Below are 12,795 nucleotides of genomic sequence, written 5' to 3' on the forward strand. Positions count from 1 at the left end.
AAGACCGTTAACACTAGAACATTAAACCAAACATTCAGGACCCTTCTAAGCGCAGAGGCCATCAAAGCTAGCCCTGGTGACAAGCTCAGGTCTCCGGATCTAGAGACTAGGAGACGTCGCCCGAAAGCTGGCCAAACCCTCGCCCTCACTGGGAGAGGCCCCAGGAGGGCCCAAGAAGGCCACGAGCCCTCGCTCCCATCCCTGCCCTCAGGAGCGGGCGGAGGGAAGCTCGCAGCTTTCCCAAGGAAGTGCAGGCTGCAGGGAATGAAGTTCAGCTCGGACCCTGAGCCTCTGAGCCCGAGACAGCAAGGTCATTCAACCCACACGTCCCCACCCAGCCAGGGCGAGGATCAGAGATGTGGCAACTCCCGGCCTTGGACTCAGGCTTGTTACTCATAAACCCGCAGGAGGGGGCAGGAGGGGGCAGGAGGCGGCGAGCGCGCACCCTGGACCCGCGGCCGGGGGCGGAGAGGCACCGCGAGGACAGAGGGACTAGCGAAGGTCTGCAAATCCCGGAGGGCCAAGGGAGCGTCAAAGGGGACAGCGGAACCGGAAAAGCTTTGACAGAAAGACGCGTGTATTAGGGAACGTCTGCAAAGACCGCGGCGGAAAGCCAGGGATTGTCTTAAAAAATTGTCAGACCGGATAAAGGGAGGTCTAAAAGGGGACCGTCCCAAGAGCAAGGCTTCCAAAAGCTAAGCCCGGAAGGACGGTATGGAGGTCTACTGGGACGCTGGGCACCCCTTAGGGCAGAACCGACTGGAGCTGCGGCCAGCGACAGAAGAACGGCTCCAGCTGGACAGGGGAAGCAGTGGGGAGAAAGGAGGCCCTTGGGCACTGTCTGAAAAGTGCGATGCCAAATGATCTTTAGGGACAGACAGTAAATTATATCCCTTGCTAAAATACCTCTCGGTAGCGAACCACCAAACGTTTCTTTTTTAAGCCCCGCCTCTCAGCCGTTACGCCTAGTTCGGCTGTCTCTGATTCAGGAAGCTGGCAGTTCCCACTTACTCCTCCCCAGCAAGAGCTAACAGCCCTCCTTGGGTGTGCACTTTCTCCTCCCCTCAGGCACCTCGCGCATTCTCCCGCCTACCTATCAATCATCGTGCTCCGCTGTCCAGTTGGCTGGCCAAGGGGGCGGGGCCGTCGTGTGACGTTTGCAGCCCGCCGGCCAGGAAGCCGCGAGATGCGTGACGAGCGAAGCGCGTGACGGAGGAGCGGTTGGCCAACGCAGTGGCGGCAGTCGGTGTAAACAAGGCCTCGCGCCGCTGCGGGTCCTGCGACCGCTCCTGGCTGGTGGGTGGTCTCGCGTGGGGCGGTTACCGCCGGCTTCAGTGGGAGGTGCTTCTCGGCTTCCTCCCCCTCATGGCGTACACACCCCCGGCGCACCACGTGGGCGTGAGGCGAGGAAGGAGGGGTGTTAGGCCAAATTCTATTTTCATTGGCTGTCACTGCTGCCGGCCTTTGTAAGGGGGCGCTCTGATTGGTCGATAAGGTGGGGGCGTCGAGGGTCTTTGAGTCCTAAGGCTTCTAATTGGTTAGATGAGATAAGCTAGTGAAGCGCTTTCTTCCGAGAGGGATTTCGATTGGTCGGTCAGAGAGGTTACCTGGAAATCCAACACCGCCCAACACCCCTCCCGCTCCCCAGTCCGGGGACTTCGATAGGTGAGTTTGGTGTAGAAAACAAATCTTTCTTCAGTTGGTGAGCTAGGGTAGCGCACTACGGTTCACTCTTGCTTTCTTTGCTTCACAGGATTGGAGAAGGTTTGTGTTCCCGACGCCTTGGTAGTTGGCATAGGCTAAAGAAAAGGGATCTCAGCCCCGAGGAAGGGTCACCCTCCTAGAGATAGCTACTACCCCGTCTCAGGAGACCCTGGTATTTCTAGAGCACGCTTTGCTTTCACCAAACCCAAGGAGGTGACAGGAGGAGCCCCCGCACAGGACCTAAGAATGCTGTGACCAGAAGATGGGATCGCGGAACAGCAGCAGTGCAGGATCCGGGTCCGGAGACCCCTCCGAGGGCTTGCCCCGAAGAGGGGCTGGCCTGCGTCGGAGTGAGGAAGAGGAAGAAGAGGATGAAGATGTGGATCTGGCCCAGGTACTGGCCTATCTCCTCCGCAGGTAACTTACCCTCTGGTGTGACCCCCAGCAGGTGCTACCACAGTGCCTTGATCCCAACTCCAGGCAGGAAAATTACAGAGGTTAGGAAATGGGATTCGCTCAGGACAGCTGTTCTGTTTGAGCTGAACAGCCTTTCCCTGCTGGGCACCCATGGCACTCAGCTCCATACCCAGTAAGAGTGGTTCTTACCTAGGGAGGGTCACCAAGAGGACCTGCTCATGTGTTTGAGGGGCTATTCAAGGGAGCCTGTCTCTGTGACTACACAAATATAGTCTATTTTCCAAGTAAGCTTGAAAAAAAAAAGGGGGGGGTCCTAGTGGGAAAGGAGTGATGTAAGGGGTGAAGAGATGGGAAGGGAGTGTTGAACTTTTTAGTAAGGCAGTTGACACATGATATGAGGCCACTTCGATTTACTTGAAAAACAAGTTTAATTTGCCCTGACTCTAACCTGTTCTTGAGGAAAGAATGCCTTGAAGGGAGAGACCACCTGGAATTGACTGGAAAAGGGTGCAGCTGGCTTTCTTTCTTTGCTTATGGCTCTTTGAGGAGAAGATGGGTTTGGGGGTCCCTTCAGAATATTGTATTCTTTTTTGTTTGTGTTTTGTGTTGTTTTTAGTAGACATAGACAGGGCTCACTGTGTTCCCCAGTCTGGAGAACGGGCTATTCACAGGTGTGATCAAGTGCACACCACAGCCTGCAACTCCTGGGCTCAAGCAATCCTTGCCTCCCAGGTAGCTAAGACTACAGTTGCACACACCACCGCACCCAGCTTAGAATATTGTCTTCTGTGGTGGACTTCTCAGGCAGAGGCTCAGAAGGAAATGCTGTGAGGATGTTTAGCTTGTTGGGAGGTCAACTTAGTAGGTCATGTCCACAGCGTATTGGTCTTGCTCTTGTTCTAAGGAAATGATGTTAGAATGTTTAGCTCGCTGGGAGGTCAACTTAGTAGGTCACGTCCACAGCATGTTGGTCTTGCTCTTGCTGTAAGAGTAAAACTCTCTTTCCTACTGTGTTTTATAGGAGACCAAAAATAACAGCCAAGGTCTAGTCAGCCTCAAACCTCAAAATGAGTACCAAGTGGTCTAAGAGCTAGATAGCCATTGACTCTGAATTTGGTTGGTTTGGGGGAAGAAGTCCCCTCCTTTATAATGGGGGTCTCTCCACAGAGGCCAAGTGAGGTTGGTGCAGGGAGGAGGTGCAGCAAATTTACAATTCATTCAGGCCCTCTTGGACTCAGAGGAAGAGAATGACAGAGCTTGGGATGGTCGTCTTGGGGATCGATACAACCCACCTGGTAAGAGGAAAAGCCCCTAATGTTGGAAGACTTTTACTAGAAAACCTTTTAGTGATATTTTGAATGATAGGTTACATTGAAAGAAGGTACGATAATTTAAGGAATAAGGAGTCCTTACAGCCCCAGTATATTCAGCCACAGGGGTGGGCTTGGGTACAGTTCTGCTAACTGTCCTCTGAGGCTGGCAGACCTAGGATGAAACTTCTCCTTGGTACTCACAGTGGATGCTACCCCTGACACCCGGGAGCTGGAATTCAATGAGATCAAGACACAAGTGGAACTGGCCACAGGGCAGCTGGGGCTTAGGCGGGCCGCCCAGAAGCACAGCTTTCCTCGAATGTTGCACCAGGTAGGCCTCTCCACCTCCCAGCCTGGCAGCAGGCCTGCCAAAGCAGCCAGAAGCTCTGCCAGCCCCAGAGAAAAAGGAAGTCAACTTTCCAAAGTAGAAGCCTCAAGCGCTGGGGCTGGAGAGTTAACCAGCCTCCATCGGAGTTCTGTGGGACAGACTATGATGTGTGTGTCCATTTCTATAACAAGAGCAATATCTTTGGAGGAGGGGGCTTGATATGGCTGAAGTGGCCCTCTATTTCTGCTAGCAATATTCCCCAATCCCTTCCATTTAGAGAGAACGGGGCCTCTGCCATCGGGGAAGCTTCTCCCTTGGAGAACAGTCTCGAGTGATATCTCAGTGAGTATGGGGCTTGGTGAAGAGACTCTAAGGGCCAGATAGGTCTTATCTCCTAAACTTTGAAGGGGTAGGTGTTAAAGGAGCCTCAGAGATATTAAAGGTTAGGTTAAATGGGGTTGAAACTTTGAGAGTAAACAAAGTAGAAAAGTGTAGAAAATTGTAGAAATTTAGAGGATGGTGGAATGGTTGAAAGACGGGATTGCACTCACAGCCAAAAGGGAAGAATGACTGTTCTGATATTCCAGCTCTGTTAGGATTCTGCTGATTGGGACACTCCTTATCCTGAGCACCCCTCACCCTCACTTTCTCTCTCCTTCCCTAGCTTCTTGCCCAATGATCTGGGCTTCACTGATAGCTACTCTCAGAAGGCTTTCTGTGGCATCTACAGCAAAGATGGTCAAATATTCATGTCTGCTTGCCAAGGTACCAGACCCTGGTCCTATAAACTATCTTTTCCTGGAACATGGGACATTCCCCCTGACTGAGGCTAGAAAGCCACAGACGGGGAGCTCAGACCTGGCTTAAGGATGCTTAGCCAGACCATGTTTCCCATGATAAAGGGAAGACTCCACAGGTACACTGAGTGGGAGATGTCTAATCTAGAAAAGTTACAAGGAAACTGTCCCATAATTCTGCCTGATCTTTACTTACACAGACCAGACAATCCGACTCTATGACTGCCGATATGGCCGTTTCCGTAAATTCAAGAGCATCAAGGCCCGCGACGTAGGCTGGAGCGTCTTGGATGTGGCCTTCACCCCTGATGGGAACCACTTCCTCTACTCTAGCTGGTCTGATTACAGTGAGTATGCACCAGGCTTCCACTGACTCTCCAGCCTGGGACCTGAGGTTTCCATGTGCCTGTCCCCTCTGAGCCAGGATCCCTCACTTTGTCCTGGGAAAATCACTCCCAAAGTGCTCCAGTACCCTTGTCCCCTGTTTGATCTCTTCCCTAGCTTCACTTCCACTCTTCTTCCCCCATCCCTGAAAGATTCTTGTTTTTCTTGCTTCTCTTAGTTCATATCTGCAATATCTATGGTGAGGGAGATACACACACTGCCCTGGATCTCAGGTACTGGCTTCCCTTTCTGGTCAGACTCATCAGAAACTTCTCAAGGGAAGCTCTTTGGGAGCAAACCTCTTGAGTTGGAAGTTCTGTTTAGGGGAAAAAGTATACTGGTGGGTCTGTGTGCATTCCTGGGAGGGAAGCACCATCTTGTCAGCCAGAGGACTGGGTAAAATAGATGGTTGCAGGATGATTTCTGGGTTCTCACTGAGCATCTGCATTATGGTGCATGTTAGCCAGACTTCTTTTTTCCCCTGGGGATGTGCCTTACAACCGTTGTCAGATTTTATGTAGATTAACAAAAGCTGAAGGAAGTCCACTTAACCCAGCTCCTTCTTGCTTTTAGGCCAGATGAGCGTCGCTTTGCTGTCTTCTCCATTGCTGTCTCCTCAGATGGACGAGAAGTACTAGGAGGGTAAGTGCTTGTGGGGTATGTTTCCCTCAATAACAAGATGGGGGTTCTGCCAGAGATGAGTTCTGCTGTTACACAGATGGCACTGGCAGCTGCAGAGAACAACCAGACCTTCTCCCAAGGTCAGGATTTACAAGTTGCTTCACCCCTTGCTCTCCATTTCCCCAGCACGAGATTGGAGGTGTCAAGCCTCCTTGAAACACAGCTAACTCTTCCCCCACTTCCTGTATAAAAAGAGCAAAGGGCTTGACCCAGAGCAGGATTTCTCAGTGGAACTCTCTAGAGCATATACCACGTTGGTCCTCTCGATCATGGCTCCAGGACCCTCCTTTATCCCTTCCCTTTCAGGGCCAATGATGGCTGCCTGTATGTCTTTGACCGAGAACAGAACCGGCGCACCCTTCAGGTATGGCTCCTGAGATAGAGCCTCTGCCTCCTGGTTTTTGGCTTTTTATAAGACCTAGAAAGAGGTCTTATATCCTGGCCTCCTTTTCGCCTAGATTGAGTCCCATGAGGATGATGTGAATGCAGTGGCCTTTGCTGATATAAGCTCCCAAATCCTGTTCTCTGGGGGAGATGATGCCATCTGCAAAGTGTGGGATCGACGCACCATGCGGGAGGATGACCCCAAGCCTGTGGGTGCACTGGCTGGACACCAGGATGGCATCACCTTCATTGACAGCAAGGTGGGCCAGAAGTCAGGACTGTACAGCCAGGCCGCTAAGGTTCTAGTTGCCCAGGAGGGCATGAAAGCGGACTGGTGTGGGAATTTGACAAGCTCCTTATTAACCAAGGTTTGTAAGAGTTGGAGTTTAGGGAAGGGGCTCAAGCCAGGGAACATGAATTCCATCTGTACTCACCAGTCCTCAAGGAGCAGGGCAGGGCTTTCCGTACAAGAAAAATGGAAGACCGGTCAGGTACAGCGGCTCACACCTGTAATCCTAGCACTTTGGGAGGCTGAGGTGGGAGGATCACTTGAGCTCAGGCGTTCCAGACCAGCCTGTGAAACCTAGCGAGACCTCATCTCTATTTATTTAAAAAAAAAAACAAAAAAAAAAAACTAAGGCCAGATGCCGTGGCTCATGCCTGTAATCCCAGCACTTTGGGAGGCCGAGGCGGGCAGATCACGAGGTCAGGAGATCGAGACCATCCTGGCTAACATGGTGAAACCCCGTCTCTACTAAACATACAAAAAAATTAGCTGGGTGTGGTGGCAGTCGCCTGTAGTCCCATCTACTCAAGAGGCTGAGGCAGGAGAATGGCGTGAACCCGGGAGGCGGAGCTTGCAGTGAGCCGAGATCACCCCACTACACTCCAGCCTGGGTGACAGAGCAAGACTCCATCTCAAAAAAAAATTAGTTAATTAAAAATTAAAAAAAGAAAAATGGAAGACAATCTGATTAAGGCTAGAATAGGAAAGCCGGCCAGTAGCCTGGGCAAGGAAAGGAAAACCTAGCCAGGTGGTAGGATCTGAGGCAGAACGCTGGAAATGAGTTCACCTGGATGAAGAGAGGCAAGTAAAGCCAGAGGCCAGAGTTCTTCTGCTCAACTAGAGAACGGGAACTAGACTGACAGGCGCCGACATTTGCAAGCTCTGATGCTTCACTATCCACCTTTGGATTCATAGGGTGATGCCCGGTATCTGATCTCCAACTCTAAAGACCAGACCATCAAACTCTGGGATATCCGACGCTTTTCCAGCCGGGAAGGCATGGAAGCTTCACGCCAGGCTGCCACACAGCAAAACTGGGACTATCGGTGGCAGCAAGTGCCCAAAAAAGGTGAGACTGGAAGTACAGGCACAGTGGATTTGTCTGTAGCCTGGGAGCCCTGGAGGACCTCCCCCTCAGCCCTCTTTGCCAGGCATTAACTCTTTATTTGCTAAATCATGGATGGAATGGCCAGAGGTTCCTAGGATTGGGGCCTGGGTGGGGGTCACTCAGAATCAACCAATATAAAAGTATGTGAGTGTAATGATTAACCGGCAGGGCCATATTGGAGACTGTCCACTGACTATTAGGTGGAGAAAGAGCCACCACTTGAAGATTGGAAAGGCATTTGTCTCTGGGCATCGAACCTTGCTCAGGACTGGTGGTACGAAACAATCCCAAAGCAGATTTCCTAACCTAGGGTTTACTCTGCATCCCTACCCAGCCTGGCGGAAGCTGAAGCTCCCAGGGGACAGCTCCTTGATGACCTACCGGGGCCACGGAGTGCTGCACACCCTCATCCGCTGCCGGTTCTCCCCCATTCATAGCACTGGCCAGCAGTTCATCTACAGTGGCTGCTCCACTGGCAAAGTGGTTGGTAAGGATTGTGTCAGAACAGGGGGCCTCAGGAAGGGCAGGAATGACTCCTTGCCATTCCACCTATAACGACTAGTGACCACCTTAAAAAGCCCAGTGACAGCTACAGGTAAAATCAAACTTAGCTTGGAGGCTTAAACAGAGAAATAGAAACCATTCTATTTTTCAGTGTTTTAAATTAAGAAAAGGAACATAGAATTCTAGACAGTAAATATAATAGATTGCCAAAAATATAGTTGGTTCTGTTTTTCAGCCAGTCAAGAAAGAGGTTGCAGATGAAAGGTAGGAGGGAACAGAGACAAAATGACACAGGAAGATGGTAGCAAGTAGTTAAGGGACATGCAGTCGCTAAAGCAGAAAAGCATAGAAAGAAATAAGCTGGCTGCAGTGGCTCATGCCTGTAACCCCAGGGCTTTGGGAGGCCAATGAGGGCAGATCACTTGAGCCCAGGAGTTTGAGACCAGCCAGGGCAACATGGAGAAACCTTGTCTCTACAAAAAATGGCTGGACATGGTGGCACAGGCCTGTAGTCCCAGCTACTTGGGAGGCTAGGGTGGGAGAATCACCTGAGCCCGAGACTGCAGTGAGCCATGATTGTGCCACCGCACTTCAGCCTGGGTGACAGAGTGAGAAACTGTCTCAAAAAAAAAAAAAAAAAGGTCGGGCACGGTGGCTCATGCCTGTAATCCCAGCACCGTGGGAGGCCGAGGCGGGCAGATCACCTGATGTCAGGGGTTTGAGACCAGCCTGGCCAACATGGTGAAGCCCCATCTCTATTAAAAACACAAAAATTAGCCAGGCATGGTGGCAGGCGCTGGTAATCACAAGCTACTTGGGAGGCTGAGGCAGGAGAATCGCTTGAGCCCAGGAGGCTGAGGCAGGAGAATCGCTTGAACCCGGGAGGCAGAGGTTGCAGTGAGCCAAGATCGCGCCACGGCACTCTAGCCTGGGCAACAAGAGCGAGACTCCATCTCAAAAAAAAAAAAAAAAGAAAAAGAAAAAAAAAACCAGAAGCACAGCTGCAGATACAAGGAGCCTAAGGCAGTGCTGTCCCTAGAGAGACACTCACAGTCCCATGACAAAAGAAAGATGCACCCTGTCCAGATAAGGTGCAGCAGGTGCACACACCCCCAGACAGCTCATTGTTCACTTTTGTGGTGCCTTCCATATCTTACTAAAATCTTCAAAGCCAGTGCATTTCCTTAACTGTAGCCCCTATGAAATTTAGCTAAGGGCCAGACATACCCACACCACTAAACCATACCCTCAACCCAAGGTATGGAAAGGAACAGGGATAGAAGCAGAAATAACACAGTCTTCTGGTGTGGGCTTTGCTCCCATGGGAACATGGGAAGTTGCCTGAGAGGCAGGTCAGTGGTGCTACTCATGGGGAGGTGAGGGATAGTTTAGATGTCTTGTGGTGGTCCCTCTCCACTCTTGCCTGTCCTGGACAGTGTACGACCTTCTAAGTGGCCACATTGTGAAGAAGCTGACCAACCACAAGGCCTGTGTGCGTGACGTCAGTTGGCACCCCTTTGAAGAGAAGATTGTCAGCAGTTCGGTGAGGTTGCAAGGGTTGAGGGTGCTGGCACATGTCTGGGGCTTGGACTTGGGTGGGGGCAGCACATCCTGACTGCTTGCCACCCTCTGCCCTGCAGTGGGACGGGAACCTGCGTCTGTGGCAGTACCGCCAGGCTGAGTACTTCCAGGATGACATGCCAGAATCTGAGGAATGTGCCAGCGCCCCTGCCCCAGTGCCCCAATCCTCTACACCCTTTTCCTCACCCCAGTAGATCCAACCTCCAGCCCCATATAGGGTGAACCTCTTGATAAGCTCTCTGCCTCCTCCTCCCTTTCTCCCTTGTGGGGAATGTTTGGAGGAATCACTGGCATTTGATGGGGAATAACATAAGCCTGGGCTCTGAGCCTCAGCTGAGCCCTGGAAGATTCTCCCCATGGGGCAGAGTGGTCTCCTTACGTGCTCACACCCAGTCAGCTTGGGTCCCTATCTCTGGCCAGAGTTTGGCAGGACTGCCATTATCTGGGGTGTGGCCTCTGCCAGCAAGAGAAGTGTCCTGGGTGTTTTTAATCATGTTTGAATGTTAGGGGTTGGATCCTAGAGTAGATGCCTGAGGCCACATCTGAACAGACCTGTCAGCCAGGCCTGCCAGGTCTTCACGTTGAGGATTCAACTGGCCAATCACAGGACAGGTGTCCTGGCCTTTCTTCCTGAGGTCTCTAGGGGAGGGGCATGGGTAAGGGTGTTTCCTCAGCACCCTCCTGGGGTGGGGATTATGTCTGCTGTCATGTCTGGGTCTTTAGGGTAGGACAGGCTGTGGTATGAGAGGCAGGAGTCTCCACAAGGCTTCATGTGGCCCCTTATAGGGCAGGCCCTGCCCTCTGGGAAGGTCCCTTCATGCTGGAGGCACACAGCTTTAAGGAAGTAGGTTGAAGTAGGACTCCTTCGTCCTCTCACTGGCTTTGGCTCCCTCAATAAACTGTGTGGGAACCTGGCTCAGTGTCTGTCTCTCTCTCTCACTCTCTGTTTTTCCTATCTGAGGTCTTTCATCTCCTCACTTCAGGAAAACACAGTTCAGCAAAGTCTTCAGATGCGATCCTGTGTAGGAGAAAATACCCTTCTGGTGCCCCATGAAAAAGGGAAATACCAAAACCATTTGTTCACTGAGCCTTGCAATAGGTGCTCCCTTACCAATTTCAGAAGCTTCCCTGCAAGTAGATATCGAGAGAGCACACTTTCCATTAGAGCCTGGTAATACCCATATCACCTCTGCTCTGAGGCTGGGCCTGCAGCTGTGTAGTCTTTGGAAGAGGTAGCCCCTGAACGCAGAGCCTAAGAGAAGCAAGTCGGCCCTGACGCCAGGCCCCAGTGGGCGCCTCACACTCAGAACCTCATACCCCAGAGCAAACCGATGGTCAGGGAGAGGGCTAGAGCTCACACCCAGCTCGGAATAGATCTTCCCTGATGACATTTCATGCCCTCTAAGGCAGTTTTTAAATGAAGGTACACACATCCAGGGGTGTTCACAGGCTTTCACAGCAAGGGTACCTATTTCATGGCAAAATAGGCAGTTTTAAAAGAATAAACAAGCTAGGTGTGGTGGCTCATGCCTGTAATCCTAGCACTTTGGGAAGCCAAAGCTGATGGATCGCTTGAGCCCAGGAGTTTGAGACCAGCCTGGGCAACATGGCAAAACCCCATCTCTACAAAAAATACAAAAAGTAGGCCGGGCACGGTGGTTCACACCTGTAATCCCGGCATTTTGGGAGGCCGAGATAGGTGGATCACCTGAAGTCAGGTGTTTGAGACCAGCCTGGCCAACATGGTGGAACCCAATCTCTACTAAAAATACAAAAAAACTAGCCGGATATGGTGGCGGGTGCCTGTAATCTCAGCTACTTGAGAGGCTGAGGCAGGAGAATCGCTTGAACTTGGGAGCAGAGGTGAGCTGAGTGCAGTGAGCCAAGACCATGCCATTACACTCAAGCTTGGGCAACGAGAGCAAAACTCTGTCTCAAAAAAAAAATTAGCCAGATGTGGTGACGCATGCCTGTAGTCCTAGCTACTCAGGAGGCTGAGGTGGGAGGATCACCTAAGGCCAGGAGGTCAAGGCTGCGGTGAGCCGTGATTGTGCCAATGTACTCCAGCCTAGGTGACAGAGTGAGACCCTGTCTCAAAAATAAATAATAAATAAATAAATGTTCAGATCCTTGGCTTCTGTGTTCTCATTCCTCAAATTGATCTACCTAGTGTGAAACTCCCGTGCCAGATCTCCTTTCCCATCCACGCTTTTCATTCCCCGTCTGCCAAGTGATAAAGTTACCTAAGGTGCTACCCATCTCACCCAGAACCTGTGTTACTTCCAGGGCACCAAATTAAGAGAGAAATTCAAATTGTTAGTATCCTTATAGCTTCATTAGATCAAAGCCCCACAGACCGACCATTCTCAGTAAGAGATGCATTTACAATATAATTTTATGTTATCGAAGTAATGTAAAATGTTTGTTGTACAGGCATACCTAGGAGATATTGTGAGTTCATTTCCAGACCACTGTAATAAAGTGAATATTGCATAAGGCGAGTCAATTTTGTTGGTTTCCCAGTGCATATAAAAGTTATGTTGTTTTTAGGCTGGGCACAGTGGCTCATGCCCGTAATCTCAGCACTTTGGGAGGCCGAGGCAGTGGATCACCTGAGGTCAGGAGTTCAAGACCAGCCTAGCCAACATGGTGAAACCTCGTCTCTACTAAAAATACAAAAATTAGCCAGGTGTGGTGGCAGGCGCCTGTAGTCCCAGCTACTCAGGAGGCTGAGGCAGGAGTATCGCTTGAACCTGGGAGGCGGAGGTTGCAGTGAGCTGAGATCGCACCACTGCACTCCAGCCTGAGCCACAGGGTGAGACTCTGGGGAAAAAAAAAATTTTGTTTTGTTTTGTTTTTTTTTTTTTGAGACGGGGTCTCACTCTGTCACCCAAGCTGGAGTGCAGTGGCATGATCTCAGCTCACTGCAGCCTGGACCTCTCCTGGCTCAAGCAGTCCTCCACCTCAGCCACCTGAGTAGCTGAGACTACAGATGCCCACCACTACACCTGGCTAATTTTTGTGTTTTCTGTAGAGATGGGGTTTCGTCCTGTTGCACAAGCTGTTCTCAAACTCCTGGGCTCAAGCGATCCTCCCACTTCAGCCCCCCAAAATGCTGGGATTATAGGCATAAGCCACTGTGCCTAGCCATGAATGTTCTTAATGGCATCTGGAATGGTGAATCCTTTCCAGAAGGTTTTCAGTTGACTTTGTCGACAGCTATCAGAGGAATCACTATGGCAGCTGCAGTCTTACGAAATGTTTTTTTTTTTCTTTTTTTTTTTTTTGCTTGATATAGGGTCTTGCTC

The 12,795-nt window shown here is 51.0% G+C and overlaps 2 protein-coding genes across 8 annotated transcripts in view, besides 4 other annotated features; one reads left to right on the forward strand and one right to left on the reverse strand.

Moving 5' to 3' along the window:
* Window positions 1–1,321, reverse strand: part of NRL (neural retina leucine zipper) — a 36,288-nt gene extending 34,967 nt beyond the window's left edge. For all 3 annotated transcript variants that reach the window (NM_001354768.3, NM_001354770.2, NM_006177.5), the window contains exon 1: window positions 1,094–1,321. The gene's annotated coding sequence lies outside the window, so the exon portion shown is untranslated. The remainder of the gene's footprint in view (window positions 1–1,093) is intronic.
* Window positions 402–1,117: an enhancer, noted in NCBI's record as "NANOG-H3K27ac-H3K4me1 hESC enhancer chr14:24583239-24583954 (GRCh37/hg19 assembly coordinates)". NCBI's record gives its function as "activates a minimal SCP1, AML or CMV promoter by ChIP-STARR-seq in primed H9 embryonic stem cells {active_cell/tissue: H9 hESC(primed)}" and the evidence as "EXISTENCE:reporter gene assay evidence [ECO:0000049][PMID:30033119]".
* Window positions 402–1,228: a biological region, named in NCBI's record as "NANOG-H3K27ac-H3K4me1 hESC enhancer GRCh37_chr14:24583239-24583954".
* Window positions 699–838: an enhancer, noted in NCBI's record as "active region_8188". NCBI's record gives its function as "activates an Ori minimal core promoter by ATAC-STARR-seq in GM12878 lymphoblastoid cells {active_cell/tissue: GM12878}" and the evidence as "EXISTENCE:reporter gene assay evidence [ECO:0000049][PMID:35858748]".
* Window positions 1,079–1,228: an enhancer, noted in NCBI's record as "active region_8189". NCBI's record gives its function as "activates an Ori minimal core promoter by ATAC-STARR-seq in GM12878 lymphoblastoid cells {active_cell/tissue: GM12878}" and the evidence as "EXISTENCE:reporter gene assay evidence [ECO:0000049][PMID:35858748]".
* On the forward strand, window positions 1,149–11,614 carry DCAF11 (DDB1 and CUL4 associated factor 11). 5 transcript variants are annotated; one of them, NM_025230.5, is made up of 15 exons: window positions 1,149–1,665; window positions 1,754–2,121; window positions 3,289–3,416; window positions 3,638–3,765; window positions 4,040–4,104; window positions 4,427–4,527; window positions 4,760–4,906; window positions 5,122–5,176; window positions 5,517–5,585; window positions 5,931–5,988; window positions 6,083–6,268; window positions 7,210–7,363; window positions 7,737–7,889; window positions 9,343–9,449; window positions 9,547–11,614. In NM_025230.5, exons 2-15 carry the CDS (start codon window positions 1,967–1,969, stop codon window positions 9,679–9,681), a joined length of 1,641 nt encoding a protein of 546 aa, NP_079506.3. In that variant the 5' UTR covers window positions 1,149–1,665; window positions 1,754–1,966; the 3' UTR covers window positions 9,682–11,614. The 5 variants fall into 5 exon arrangements, 3 of the variants coding, with proteins under 3 accessions (NP_079506.3, NP_001156956.1, NP_852002.1); NM_001163484.2 differs by having other exon boundaries at window positions 1,149–1,296; window positions 1,915–2,121; NM_181357.2 differs by having other exon boundaries at window positions 1,657–1,764; window positions 1,915–2,098; window positions 3,344–3,416.
* The last annotated feature ends 1,181 nt before the right edge of the window (window positions 11,615–12,795 follow it).

This window comes from Homo sapiens, chromosome 14 (assembly GCF_000001405.40).
Source record: "Homo sapiens chromosome 14, GRCh38.p14 Primary Assembly".
In the NCBI taxonomy this organism is placed as follows: Eukaryota; Metazoa; Chordata; class Mammalia; order Primates; family Hominidae; genus Homo; species Homo sapiens.